General features: G+C 43.2%; 1 protein-coding gene across 6 annotated transcripts in view, besides 1 other annotated feature; it reads left to right on the plus strand.

The window, feature by feature from the left end:
- The window catches only part of SHISA9 (shisa family member 9), a 661,420-nt gene that overhangs the window by 195,696 nt on the left and 451,435 nt on the right, over positions 1-14,289 (plus strand). The gene's annotated exons all lie outside the window — the stretch shown is intronic.
- Positions 4,442-4,972: an enhancer, noted in NCBI's record as "OCT4-NANOG hESC enhancer chr16:13195592-13196122 (GRCh37/hg19 assembly coordinates)". NCBI's record gives its function as "activates a minimal SCP1, AML or CMV promoter by ChIP-STARR-seq in naive H9 embryonic stem cells {active_cell/tissue: H9 hESC(naive)}" and the evidence as "EXISTENCE:reporter gene assay evidence [ECO:0000049][PMID:30033119]".

A 14,289-nucleotide genomic window follows, 5' to 3' on the forward strand; every position in this document is an offset into this window, starting at 1 on the left:
AAACCCAGGACCCTTGACCCTTGGAATAGTGCTCTCAGGTCATCTACCCAAGTGGACAGCAGGCACTTTATGGGATGAGCCATCACGCGGTGGAATGCCCGACATCATAGTGGCATTGTCTGATCAGTATTTTTTTTTTTTTGAGTGGGGTTTTGCTTTGCCCCTCAGGCTGGAGTACAATGATGCTATCACTCAAGTGATAGCTCAAGTGATCCCCCTGCCTCAGTCTCCCAAGTAGCTAGGACTACAGGTTTGTGCCATCATGCCCAGCTATTTCAAAATAAATTATTTTTAGAGATGGGGTCTTACTATGTTATCCAGGCTGGGCTTGAACTCCTGGCTTCAAGTGATTCTCCTGCCTTGGCCTCCCAAAGTGCTGGAATGACAGGTGGGAGTCACCATGCCTGGCCTGATCATGCAGTCTTTAGTAGCTTTGACTTTGGCGGAAGTGTCATTCCTATATAGAGTGCAGCTTAATAGCACTGGGTGATGGGGAGTGGACAGGAATGAGTTTTAGAAGTAAGTACAGTAAAATGTCATGATAGACAGCATCCTACTTCACCAGGTTGTCCTGGCCAATGGTGAAAATCCTGTGATTCTGAGTTAGAGCAAACAAGCTAGTAGTCATAGTAGTACTAATTCTAGCCCTAGTACTAATGAGAATACAGTCAACATTAACTGAGCACTTACTATGTGTGAACCACTGTGTCGGGTGCTTTATGTATGCACAATCTTTCAACAGCCTGTTAATTTGGCACCACTGTTACCACCCCATTTCGCAGAAGAAACGGAGGGTCAGAGAGATGAAGTCACCTGTCCCAGGTTTTGGACCAGGGTTAGTTGACTCCAGAGTACCTGCTCTTAATGTTGATAAGGCATGTAAATCCTGGGATCAGATCCTGGCTATGACACTTAGGGCCTCAGGCAAGCAACAACTTCTTTGAACTTTGGTTTCCTCATCCATAGAAATGGAGCAAAAATACACTCCCTGCTGGATTGCCACGAATCCCATTCAGGGATTCACTGTGGCCTTTATTGCATCCATAAATGCCAGCTCTTACAGTTAATGGCTCCTCTTCTTTTCTTTAATTCTATTTCAGTATTAGGTGTTCTGTGTTACCATATACCCATTAAGATCCCAGCAACCCAGGGAGTCACCACTTTTCTCAGTCTTGCTGGCCCTGTGTTTTCCCTCTTGCCTTTGGAATTTCTGAATCTTGTTCTCTGCAAGTGAGAAAGGGGGGAGGTTCTCTTTGTAAAACCCATGAGCCACTTTCAGGCTACAATAAGACAGGAAGGAGGCCTGGAGAAAGTGACTTCTGGAATCAACCCAAAGGACTTGAGTGGTTTCTGGAGGCTGCAGGAGGCAGGATGTCCAAAGATTCCTCCTTAAGGAGCAACTGCAGGCTCCCATCCACTCTGTGCATGTGGCTGTTGCTGCCTCCAGGAACGGAACTCAGAGTTGAGTCAGATGAAATTGCAAAAAGGCTGGGTGGTTCTGGACTCAGAGAGGCTCCCAGCTCTGTTGAATCTGGCTCAATCTCTTCCTAGATCTGCGGTCTTGGGCAACCCCCTTTGTCTCTCTGAGATTTGGTTTCTTCATCTGCAAAATGGGCTGGTTGTGAAGAGTAAATAAAGGGATGAGTCATTAGTTAAAAGAAAAGGATTGTATACAGGTGGGGCTGACATTAAAAGCTGCTGAATTTATTCAACAAATATTTATTGAATACTAAATGCCTGTGGGGCACTGTTCTAGATCTGGCATTGGCAAGCTATGGCCTTCAGGCCAAATCCAGCTGCTGCCTGTTTTTGCAAATAACGTTTTGCTGCAACACATCCATGTCAATTCACTGACCGATCATCTATGGCTGATGCTGCTACAACAGAAGTGAGTAGTTGTGACAATGACAGGCTCACAAGCTTACAATATGTAGTCTCTGGCACTTTACAGAAAAAGTTGCTGATCCCTAATTGAAGTGATGGGAAAAAATGAACAACACACACACACATCTCTGATGGGACTTTCCTGGAGCAGGAAGACAGATAATAAGCAAAGTAAAATATAACTAAACTAGATAATATATAAGAAGGTAGCAAGCACAAGGGAGAATAATAAAACAAGGGTGGGGGACAAAGAATGCTGGGGAGAGGGTAGAATTGTAGTTCTGAGCAGGCTGAGAGTAGAATTGTGGTTCTGGGCCAACATCACTAAGAAGATGCCATTTCAGCCTTGACTTGATGGGGTGGAGGGAGTGGGCAGTGAGGATATCGGGAAGTGTTCCAAGCAGAGGGACCAGCAACTGCAAAGGCCCTGAGGCAGGAGTGTGCTCTGTGCCTCCTAAAATCAGTGAAGAGTGTAGCATGGCTGGACCCCGATGGGCAGCGGGGACGGGGTTGGTGGGGGCAGAAGCAGGAGATAAGAATCTTCCTTTTAGGCTCAGCCAGTTGTCTCAGACCTCATGGCAATTCTGTACACTGCCTTTTTCTCTGAGTGGGTTAGAAACCACTTCCAGTGTTGACCCAAGAAGTAATGTGATCAGAGTTATACTTTACAAATCCCAGGGGCCTCCAGGGGAGCTGGAGAAAAATCCAGGAGATTAGAGAGCCTAGGAGGCTCCCTGTTGACCTCTGAGCCTTTTGTCCCTGAATATTTCCTTTTACACCTTAGGCAGGCATCAAGAATCCAGACACCGACAGGAGCCAGGCTGGATGGGACTCAGCAGGAGGTCTGGGGACTGTAGCAAAGTGAGGGACACACGGCCCTTTCAGGAGACCACTCTTTACCTCCAGCCAGTGGCTGTTATGTAGGAATGTCAGCTCAGTGTCACCATAGCTGATTCCTCAAGAGAACTCAGAGATGCAGATTTTAACATATAATTGTGCTGCATTGATCTATGGATTAGTAATTCAACTTGTCTTTTTAAACACCACTCAGAACAAAACATATTTGCAGTACCTTTTTGGCAAGCATACACCCAGTTTACTGAATACAAGGATTTGGGCTTTGTTTTATTTTATTTTATTTATTTTTTTGAGTAGGTCAATTGGGACCTGGCATTAGAAAATTGTTGTTTGTAATCATGTGCCCAGGTGAATGAGTGAATCCCAGATATGCACCAGAACACACACAGGAGGACTCTGTGGTGCCCTGCATAGCCCTCGGGCTGGTGTAGCAGGTTGCACAGGACTTGGGTCTGAATGTCCCTTTTTGCTCCTATTACCTTGTGGGTATAGCTTGTACAGGAATGACAGCTCATTCATATTCTGGGGCTGGCAATGTGCTCAGGACTGTCCAAGAGATTGAGAAGTTGACTCCTTGTTCGGGGCCTCCAGAAGTGTGCACTCCAGGAGAAAGGATAGCATAAGCTGTCCTTAAAAACAGAGAAATACTACTCTCTGCTTCTACGAGTTTGGCTATTTATTTATTTATTGAGATGAGGTTTCGCTCTTGTTGCCCAGGCTGGAGTGCAGTGATGTGATCTTGGTTCACTGCAACCTCTGCCTCTCCGGTTCAAGGGATTCTCCTGCCTCAGCCTCCCAAGTAGCTGGGATTACAGGCATGAGCCACCACGCCTGGCTAATTTTGTATTTTTAGTAGAGACGGGGTTTTGCCATGTTGGTCAAACTCCTGACCTCAGGTGATCTGCCCACCTCGGTCTCCCGAAGTGCTGGGATTACAGGCTTGAGCCACTGTGCTCACCCCGAGTTTGGCTATTTTAGATTCCATATCTAGGTGGAATTCATGCAACGTTTGTCTTTCCATGCCTGGCTTATTTCTCTTAGTATCACGCCTTTCAGGTGTGTCTATGTTTCCGGGGCTGTGGGGAGAGGGAAGTGGGGAGATATTGACCAGGTTTCACTTGTGCAAGATGAATGAGCTCTGGAGATCTAATGTACAGCCATGTGACCATTGCTAACAATACTGTACTGTATACTTGAGATTTGTCAAGATGGTAGGTGTTAAGTGTTCTCACACGAAGAAACAAAAGGAAATGGTAACTATGTAAGATGACAGATGTGTTAATTAGCTTTATTGTATCGATTATGTCACAATGAATATATATATCAAAACATCAAGTGGTATACCCTAAATATATACAATTTTAATTTTTCAATCATAACTCATTAAGTCTGGAATACAGAAATATATACTGGAAACAAACATACATATGAAAACCCAACAGAGAAATACTGGTTAGTGCCAGGTAACCAAACTGAAGGCGTCAGGCCAATCTGGCCAACAATCATGTTGTGTTTGGGTTGATGGTCTTATTTAAAAAAATGTTTTAAGCTAGTTGCTGGCTTTTGAAAATCAAAATATTTCACACTGTTCCTTTGCATATATACCCAGAAGTGGGATTGCTGTATCATATAGTAGTTTTATTTCTAATTTTTTGAGGGACCTCCATACTGTTTTCCATAGTAGCTGTACTAATTTCTATTCCTACCAACAGTGGATAAGGGTTCCCTTTTCTCCACATCCTCGCCAATACTTGCTATCGTTTGTCTTTTTGATAATACCCATTCCAACAGGTGTGAAGGGATAGGCACAATTATTATTCATCAATTAAAACTAAATAAATAAATAAAATGGAGGAAAAAGGACTTCACACTAAATTCCAGATGTGAGCTTCTCTTGATGCAAAGCATCAGGAGACTCTGGCCATGCCAGGCCTGAATTCCTGCATGGATGATTGGGTAATGCTGAGAATGGCTGCCTCTTGCAGGTGCAGGTGTGTGCTCCCTACTCACCCAGCAGTTTACTTTACTTATTTACATTCCCCGACTGTCCCCTCCCTCCCTGAGGCTTTTGAGTTTGCATCCCTTGAAGTTGGGGCTACTAATCTGAGGAAGGCTCACCTGGGGTTGTGTCCTGTCTACGAGAACCGACATGCTCAACCCTAGGACTAGAATGCCATGTGTTCTCTCTGATCAATGATCAGTTATGATTGTGCTACCTGTTGCATTTCTAAACACCTAGCACTGTGCACCAGCTCAACATCCAGGTCACAGGATAGAGCAGCCTTCAGATGAAATTACAAACAGATATAGGGCTGCTATTCTGGTAGAATTCTGAACTGTCCCATGGGTTCCAGAGGTTGACTTTCTTCTCTTCCAGGTCCTTCTGTCCTCACCGCGTGGCCCAGGAGGTCTCTTTCTCTAAGGGTGAACTCCGTGGCCACTGATGCTATTCTGGAACACTGAGAGGCAAGGGAGAGAACAGACTTTCCCTTTGTCCCATCTGATGTCCTAATGTAGCCTTCTTGGGCAACTTTATCACACAGCAAAGTCAGGGTTGCAGCTGGGACTCTGGGAACATTTCATCCATGATGTCATAATTGATTTTCCTCCTTTTGTCCTCCCTCTAGACTCCCCTCTCCTTCCCCACACCATCCCTGTTTCTCTGCCGCTATAATGCTTCACTGCTTCCCCTAGACGGTTGGGGAGAATTCACTCTCCATGACTTGTTTTGTCCCTGTTAATCCCCAATCAATATGTGGCACCCAATGTAGTCGCTGTTCCGGGAAAAATAACTATTATTCTGCCTAGGCCAAGAGTCATCTTAATTTAAAAGGATAAATTGCTCACTCAACTTCCAGACTTTTCATTCAGAAGGGAGACAAGTTCATGGGTTGGCAGAGGGAGGCGGCACTTCCTCATAGGCTATGCATATAGAAATACTCTTCTTATCCTTTCAAAAACTTTTGTTTATATTTTTTACTGAAGGTTGTGCCAATCTCTTTGAACACATTTTCTCTAGTCCTCTCAACAGCCTGAGAGTAGTTGATTCATTTATAACTTGAGGAAACTGAGGCAAAGAGATAACAAGACTTATCCAAAGTCATTTAACTTGTCAGTAGCAGAGCTGGGATTGAATTTAGTGTGTCAGACTCCAAAGCTCATGCTGTATATTGAAGAAAACACTCTTCCGGAACTTCACACCCCAGAGTTTCATTCTTGTCTATCTCCTGGGGCGAGCTGAAAGCCCCCTTCTCAAAGATCTTCTCCTGGCATGAGTTTCATGATTTATCTTTCTCCAGCAAGCCTGATTTATAGAGTTTTAGTTATACATAGAGGGAAATGATTATGTTTCTGAGATGAATTATTGCACATTTGAGGTCACAGAGTGTCCTTAATGTCCCATGAGCAGGTGAGTGGAAAGACCAGGGGCTAATGAATGGGAAGAAAGCCAGGGACACAGGTGTTTGCAGAGCCACAAGAATCTCAGGTGAGACTCAGCTCAGCTCTTGAACACAGTAACCCAACCTGCCTAGGCCTCTCAGTCTGTGAGTAAGATGAAGTCACAGTAACAGGAATTGTGCACATTTTCTGGCTCTTATCTTCATTCACATATACAGGACTTCTGCCCATGCAAAGCTTTCCTCTCTTCTGTCTGATAATTCTTGTGGTGGGGTTATTTCACCCTTGCTTTCAGCTGACTGCATTCATCTCATAGTGTCCACCATGTTTTTTCTTCCATGTTGGCCTCATTGTCAACGTTTGTATCTTGAGATGCTCTTGAGGGTGCCATGGGCCACCATGTCATAGGCTTTGTGTCCAGATGCTTACGAAGGTGCTAACTCTAAAGATTTCCAGAGCATTGGAAAGAAGTCATCTCTCCCCCATTCTGGGATATACGCCACTCTCCAAGCTCCAAAGCCATCCTGCTTGGGCTTTGTTCTAGAGTCCTACGAAAACACAGCCATTAGTTTCTCCATCTGTTCCATCTCCAAATTGCTCCAGGAGGCATGCATGTGTCTGGTTCTTGATCCAACCTCATTTCTTTCTTTTGTGACATCAAAGCTTCTTGCTTTCTTCTTCATCCCCAGCTAATGCCCTCATACGGTTGTCTAAGGGGGCCAGGTTTACCAGCTTTCCATATTCTCAGTCATGTCTGAATTCCAGTTTGGCTTCAAGGTAGGATATAGTAGTATTTAATAGTATGAGCTTGGGTGGGAATGTAAAATGGTGCAGCAGCTTTGGAAAACAGTTTGGCAGTTTCTTAAAATGTTAAATATAAACTTACTATACGACCCAGCGATTTCCCTCCTAGGCATCCACCCAAGAGAAGTGAAAGCATATGTTCACACAAAGACATATCCATGAATATTCATACAAACATTATTTATAATAGTCCAAAGTGGAAACACTCCAAATGTCAATCAATTAGTAAATGGATAAACAAAATGTGGTATATCCATATAATGGAATATAATTCAGCAATAGAAAAGGAATGAAATACTGATATCTGCTACAACATGGGTGATCCTCAATAACAGTATGCTAAATGAAAGAAGCCAGATGTATAGGCTCGTGTTGCAGAATTCCATTATGAATTGTCCAGAAATGGCAAATCTATTGGGAAAGAAAGTAGATTAGTGGTTGCCTGGGCTGGGGTGGGGATGGAGGTGAAGATTAACAGCAAATGATCATGGGGACGTTTTGGGGGTGCTGAAAATGTTCTAAAACTGGAGGATAATCGAAATTCTATACATTTACTAAAAATCACAGAATTGTATACTTACAATGTGTGAGTTTTATGGTATGCAAATTACATATCAATAAAACTTTTTATTTTTTAAAAAAGTATGATTTTAGATTCTGACAGACCTTAATTGCTTAATAGCTTCCTCTATTGCTTACTAACTGTGCCACTGTCAATTACTTACGTTGGTTGAGCCTCAGTTTCCCTGTCCATAAAATGGGCGTAAATACTACTTCATAGGGTTGTTGTAAAAATTGAAACTGGTTAAAGCTTGAGAAGTGTTTAACGTCAAGGAAATATAATAATAAACAATAAAATATATTAAAAACTTAATATTGATATACTATTATACGCTCAATAAAAGTTAATTTCTGTTATGGTTGCCTTTCCTTGCTGTGAAGACATTCTTTATATTATTAACATTTTGAAATGTACCATAGGAGTATACGGCTAGCAAAATAATTGGGTTTCTTTTATTTTGGAAAGTGTTTCTGAATATGTGGTGCATCTGTGGATGGAAGGTGTCTAAGCTTGGAGGAGATGCGGTAAGCATTGCTATTACTGTCTACTGCATGCTGTCCCAAGTGGGTCCTGTCTGGACCACATTTCAGGCCATCACCCTCCCTCCCACTTGCTTACCACAACAGGTCTTCTGGTCTTCCCGGGCTCCTGGGCTTCTGCTTCCTATTTTTGCAATGCTTCTCATAGAGAGGCTTAGAAGGAGAGAGGATGGGTAGGATGTCCCCATGGGGCTTCCCGCAGCCTCCCAATTAGACTGGTTGTGGGGAGACTCCGGAGGAGGGAGGTCTTGGCCCGTGCCAGCAGGATGGCTATGAGTCTGTGGAGAAAGAAAATAGAGCACAGAAAGGGAGCTGAACTTTCTAAGCAGCCAGTTTCATTTTGGGCATGGCAGTTGCTTGTGCTGTCAGGGAGAATCAAGCTCATCTGCTGAGGAGAGCTGCCAGGGGCTGACAGACTCCATCCTTATAGGTTCCTCAGCTCCTCTTGGGCTTATTAAAAACTTGGCTCTGCCTGGCCGGGGTACAGAGCTTCTAGGTTGAGGAACATTGAGCATGTTGAAGTTGAGAGCGCCCTTTCAGATGATTTATTGGCACTTGAAGTCTTCATCATTTGGCTTCTATCATAGACACACTTTACTCTTGGATCTCACCAAGGGTTGACTTCTCCATGTGCCCTGGTCTCTCTATTCCCATAGGTAGTGTGCTACCTTCTGCCTCTTTACCTTTGTCCCTGCAGCCCTATGCCATTATTATTTTTGCAGATGAGGAAACTGAGCCTGAGAGAGATCAAATAACTTGCTCAAGGTCACATAGCTAGTAAGTGGCAGAGCTGGAATTAGAACCCAGCTTTTAATGATTCAAGAGCCTGAGTGCTTGGCTATTGAGCTCTGCTACCTTCCAAATTTTGGTGTGAATTATAGCATATTTTATAATTGTATGCTGGTACATCTGCCTCCCTTGTGCAAAGATTGTATACTTTTCATCTGTGTATCTTCTGGGCCCAGCATGAAGCCTGATGTACAGTAGCAAATTTGGTGCAAGTTTAAGTTCCTGCATCAGAGTCCACCTCCACCACTTACTAGCTCTGTGGCTTTGGGTGACTCAGTTAAAGCTTTCTGAACCTCAGTTTCCTTGTTATAGGATAATAATACCTACCCAGGGTGTGTGTGAAGATTTGGTGACATGATGCATGTTTGGTGTTTGATGCATACCAGATGTGGTACACATTTTTGTTTTCTTTTGGGACATTCAATCCTGTATATTTTCAACCGAGGCAGTTTAGATAGGGTTTACCTTAATCTCCAGCTCCAAGGAGAGAAGACCTTCAGCAGCCTGGCCAATCAGAAGGCTGAATTACCCTGATCACAGGGATTGGTTCAAAGGTGGACATGTGACCTGGATGAGCCAATCTGTGCCTTCTCTGGGACTTTGGCTAGAAAAAAAAAATCAGTAAGTGGCAAATTACATCCTTCTGAGATGATAAGTACAATGAACCATGTAAATAGTGAGCTGTGTAGCCACCAGGTGGGAAAGGATTTTTCTGAGAATGAAGCCGTCCCAGAGGAAACAGAACCAAGAGGACAAAGAAAGAGAGAGTTCTGATCATATTGTTCATTTCATGCCTGTAGTTTTCTAGTCACATCAATAAACTTGCTCTTTCTCACGTTCTCTCTCTCTCTCTCTCTCTCTCTCTCTCTCTCTCTGCTTTGAGCTAGCTGAAGTTGGTTTTTGCTACTAATGAGTTAAATTTTTATTCGACAAAGGGGGTGTTTTAAAATGGTGAGCTTTGCGTTTATTCCCCGAGTGAGGGAATGAACAAAATAATATAAGCTTGTTAAAGATCAGAGTTGGGCTGGCTGTGGTGGCTCATGCCTATAATCCCAGCACTTTGGGAGGCCGAGTGGGTAGATCACCTGAGGTCAGTAGTTCAAGACCAGCCTGGCCAACATGGTGAAATCCCATCTCTACTAAAAAAATACAAAAAATCAGCCAGGTGTGGTGGTGGGCACCTGTAATCCCAGTTACTTGGGAGGCTGAGGCAGGAGAATCGCTTGAACCCAGGAGGCAGAGATTGCAGTGAGCCGAGATTGCACTATTGCACTACAGCTTGGGCGACAGAGAGACTCGGTCTGAAAACAAAAACAAACAAACAAACAAACAAAAAAACAACAGACACACACACACACACACACACACACACACACACACACACACAGAGTTAACTTAACTTTAGTTCTAGCAAAGATCAAATAATTAGGTAGGCAGTCAAGGTGAAGATAGGTCCAGAATTTACAGGGAAGAAGGCTCTTCAGGGGGAAGCAGGACATTGAGGCTTAGTAATTTCATTACTAAGACAGCTGCAGTAGGGGTGGCAGGTGAGATTGATCAGGTAGGTTGGGGCCAGGTGATCAAGAGCCTTAACTGTCATGAGAATAGATTGGAAGATGAATAGTGGATGGTGAAACTGAAGGCCAGTAGGCCATTTGGAAACAATGGGGATGAATGAGGGCAGTGGCAGTGGGTATAAGGCACAGACTTAGTCCTTAATTTTGAGTCAGTATAAATTTGAATGGGAAAGGAGGATATGAATTGGGGTCTAGTCTGGTGTAGCAAAAGCCTTACACATAGTAAGTCCTATAATGCTCAGTCAGTTTGATTTATTTTTAAAGGGAGTGTTATGGACATTGTAGAGGGCACATTCTCATAAGACAATGAGTATGTAATATGTTAGGTGGTGATCAGAGCTGAGAAATAAGAAATTTTGGTAGGAGGACAGGGAGTGGAGGGTAAGGTGTTGTTAAGTAGGATATCCAAAGAGAGCCCCCCTCCGGCCCCACCCTGCTTTTTTGAGACAGTCTTGCTTTGTCACCCAAGCTGGAGTGCAGTGTCCTGACCACGCCTCACTGAAGTCTTGACCTCCAGGACTCAAGTGATCCTCCTACCTCACCTTTTCGAGTAGCTGAGACTGCAGGTGTGTGCCACCACACTTGGCTAATTGTTTTGTTTTTTTGTAGAGATAGGATCTTGTTATGTTACTCAGCCTGGTCTCAAATTCCTAAGCTCAAGCAATCCTCCTGCCTTGGCTTCCTGAGTCGCTGGGACTGCAGGCAGGCACCATCATGCCCGGCTAATTTTTTGAAGTTTTTGGAGTCTTGGGGTCTTGCTAAGTTTCTCAGGCTGATCTTAAACTCCTGGGTCAGGTGATCCTCCCACTTTGGACTCCCAAAGCACTGGGATTACAAGCCTAAACCACTGTGCCTGGCCCAAAGAGAGCATCTTTGATTAGAAAACCAACCGTTACCTCAAGACACATGAGACTGCATGCTTACTAATTTCTGGGAAAATATTTATCATGTAATACTAGAGGGAAAAAAATCAGCGTATGAATTAGAAGCAGATTAGGATGGAGCAAGATTGCTTTTTACCATTGGGGGAAATATTGAATTTGATTTGATCTTTTTCATTTATTTATTTAAGAATTTTTAAAAGCCCACATCACAACCAATGGTAACACAAGAGAGTGTTGTGAGCCCCAAGTTGAGTACAGTATCCCTAGGTATGGTCAATTTCTCAATGTTTCTCCTAAAGTGTAGTGTCCTGAGCTAAAACCTTCCAGAGCGTGCTGAGCAGCATCATGTGAAAAGGGACAAATGGATTGTTTTCTCCAGGGGTGTGACAGGTATATGATGATTCAGGGTGGCTGCTTTGACCTGGCTCTCTCTAGACTCCAGAGCATTTTGGGATTCTGAAAATCAAAATTATTATCTTTTTGTGTGTGTGTGAATTACTGAGTGTTGCAGGCATCAGTCTTGACCTCTGGGGCTCAAGTGATCCTCCTACCTCATCCTCCTGAGTAGCCGAGACTACAGATATGTGCCATCATGCTTGGCTAATTGTTCTATTTTTTTGTAGGGATGGGTTTGCTGTGTTACCCAGGGTGACCTTGAACTCCTGGGCTCAAGCAATCCTCCCACCTTGGCTTCCTAAGTAGCTGGAACTGCGGGCAGGCATCACCATGCCCAGCTAAGATCCACTTGTGGTCTTCAAGGGTAGGCCCAACTTGGCTTATTACTCATTCACTCATTTCTCCTTACTCACCACCTGCTTGCATCTCTCCTCATGCTCAGGGATGGGCTGGTGGGTGAAAATCTTGCAAGGCACTTAATACACACATCACTCAGTTGTTCATAAAAGCTGAATGTTTAATGACTTAAAAACCCCCAACTTTATGATGGTATAATTGACATAACATCAAATTCACCCATTTTAAGTATACAATTCAATGATTTTTAGAAAATTTACTGACTTGTGCAACTATCATGAGCATCCAGTGTGAGGACATTTTTTGTCACCCCAATAAGATCCTTGTGCCTGTTCTCATCCCTAACCTCAGGTAACCACTAATTGATTTTCTAGCTCTAGAGATGTGTCTTTTCTGGACATTACATGTGAATGGAATTATACAGTATGTGATCTTCTATGTCTGGCTTCCTTTACTTAGCATGTTTTTGAGGTTCATCCCTGTCTTAGCAGGTATAAATTCTTCATTTTTTATTGCTGCATAATATTCCATCATATGGATAGACCACTCCATTCACACATTGGCGAACATTGGAGCTCTTTTTAATGCTGAGATATTATGAGTAATGCTGCTATGAATACTCACTTGTGAGCCTTTTGTGGACACATGTTTTCATTTCTTTTGAGTAGATACCTAGGAGTGGAATTGCTGGGTAATATATATTAAGATTATATTCAACTTTTCAAGAAAGGAATAGCTTGGTTTTTAAGCTGTGTCAAAGTGCTCTCCCCACCACATATAGAGGGTTGTGTTGAGCATCTCTCATAACCTGGAATGCCCTCCACACATGGCTGCAACTGAGATATTTGCAATGGAATGTTCAGGTCCTTCCATGCCCAGCCATTTGCTGGAGCATTTCCGCCTACTAGTCATTCTGCCAAGCCTCCCATTCCTGCCACAGCCAACCCCAAGGAAGGGGGAACACAAAGACGTCTGTGGCTGTCTGAACGTGGCTTTTTCTCCAGATGGGACAGATGCAGTGGCTGTAAAAGCAGCTGCGATGTTTCCGTGCTGAAAAGGGCTTTTCATGCAAGAGACGAAAAGAGGAATGTCATGCTGGAAAGGTGAACTTTGGGAGCTGGTATGAAAAGAATGTGATGTGTGCTCCCTGTTTCTCTGGGACAAATGAGTCATGTTTGAGAAATGGTCCCTTTTCAGCCTCAATGACTGCTTGCATCTATTTCAACATCCAAAAAAAGTACAGGGAGAGGAGAGCTGGAACTTGAGCAAGACTCAAAGGTTGCTGGAGACTCGGAAACAGTCATCTGATGGTGTGACAGGTCAGTGAGCCAATCAGCCAGCCAAAGAGCTGTGATGAAGGGAGAGTCTGTGATTGTAGAGTGACACATGGCCTCATTTATCCTGGAGAAAGCTGGGGAATTTGGTCTCAGACAGCTGGTACTGAATTGAGTCTTTGTATGTCCAAGAGACAAGATATTCATTTAAATTGAACAGATGCCAATGTTACTTGGGCTCCTTAGTGGTAACTGATCCTCCCCTCATGGGCCTGAAGGTATTAAAAAATATTTAGTACGTGGCTTCTAAGATTTAACTGTAGCCCTTAAGAAGTAAACTCAGACATACAAGAGATGTGAAACTGGCTAGCCATATGCAGAAAACTGAAACTGGACCCCTTCCTTACACCTTATACAAAAATTAACTCAAGATGGATTAAAGACTTAAATTTAAGACCGAAAGCCATAAAAACCCTAAGAGAAAACCTAGGCAATACCATTCAGGACATAGGCATGGGTAAAGACTTCATGACTAAAACACCAAAAGCAATGGCAACAAAAGCCAAAATTGACAAATGGGATCTAATTAAATTAAAGAGCTTCTGCACAGCAAAAGAAACTATCATCAGAGTGAACAGGCAACTTACAGAATGGGAGAAAATTTTTGCAATCTATCCATCTGACAAAGGGCTAGTATCCAGAATCTACAAAGAACTTAAACAAATTACAAAAAAAAAAAAAAACCCAAAAACAAAAAAACAGCTTCCCTTATTTCTTAAGGTGATCTCAGATGGCAGACTCCCTGAGTTCAAATCCTGATTGCAGAAGATCATTGAATAATTTATTTAAGTCCTCTGTGCCTTGGTTTTCTCATCTGTAAAGTCAGACTGAAAACACCTCCCTGTTTTGAGGATTAACTGAGATTATCTGTGTAAGACACTTAGCATATTGGTGGGCACATAGAAA

Source organism: Homo sapiens, chromosome 16 (assembly GCF_000001405.40).
Source record: "Homo sapiens chromosome 16, GRCh38.p14 Primary Assembly".
Taxonomy (NCBI): Eukaryota; Metazoa; Chordata; class Mammalia; order Primates; family Hominidae; genus Homo; species Homo sapiens.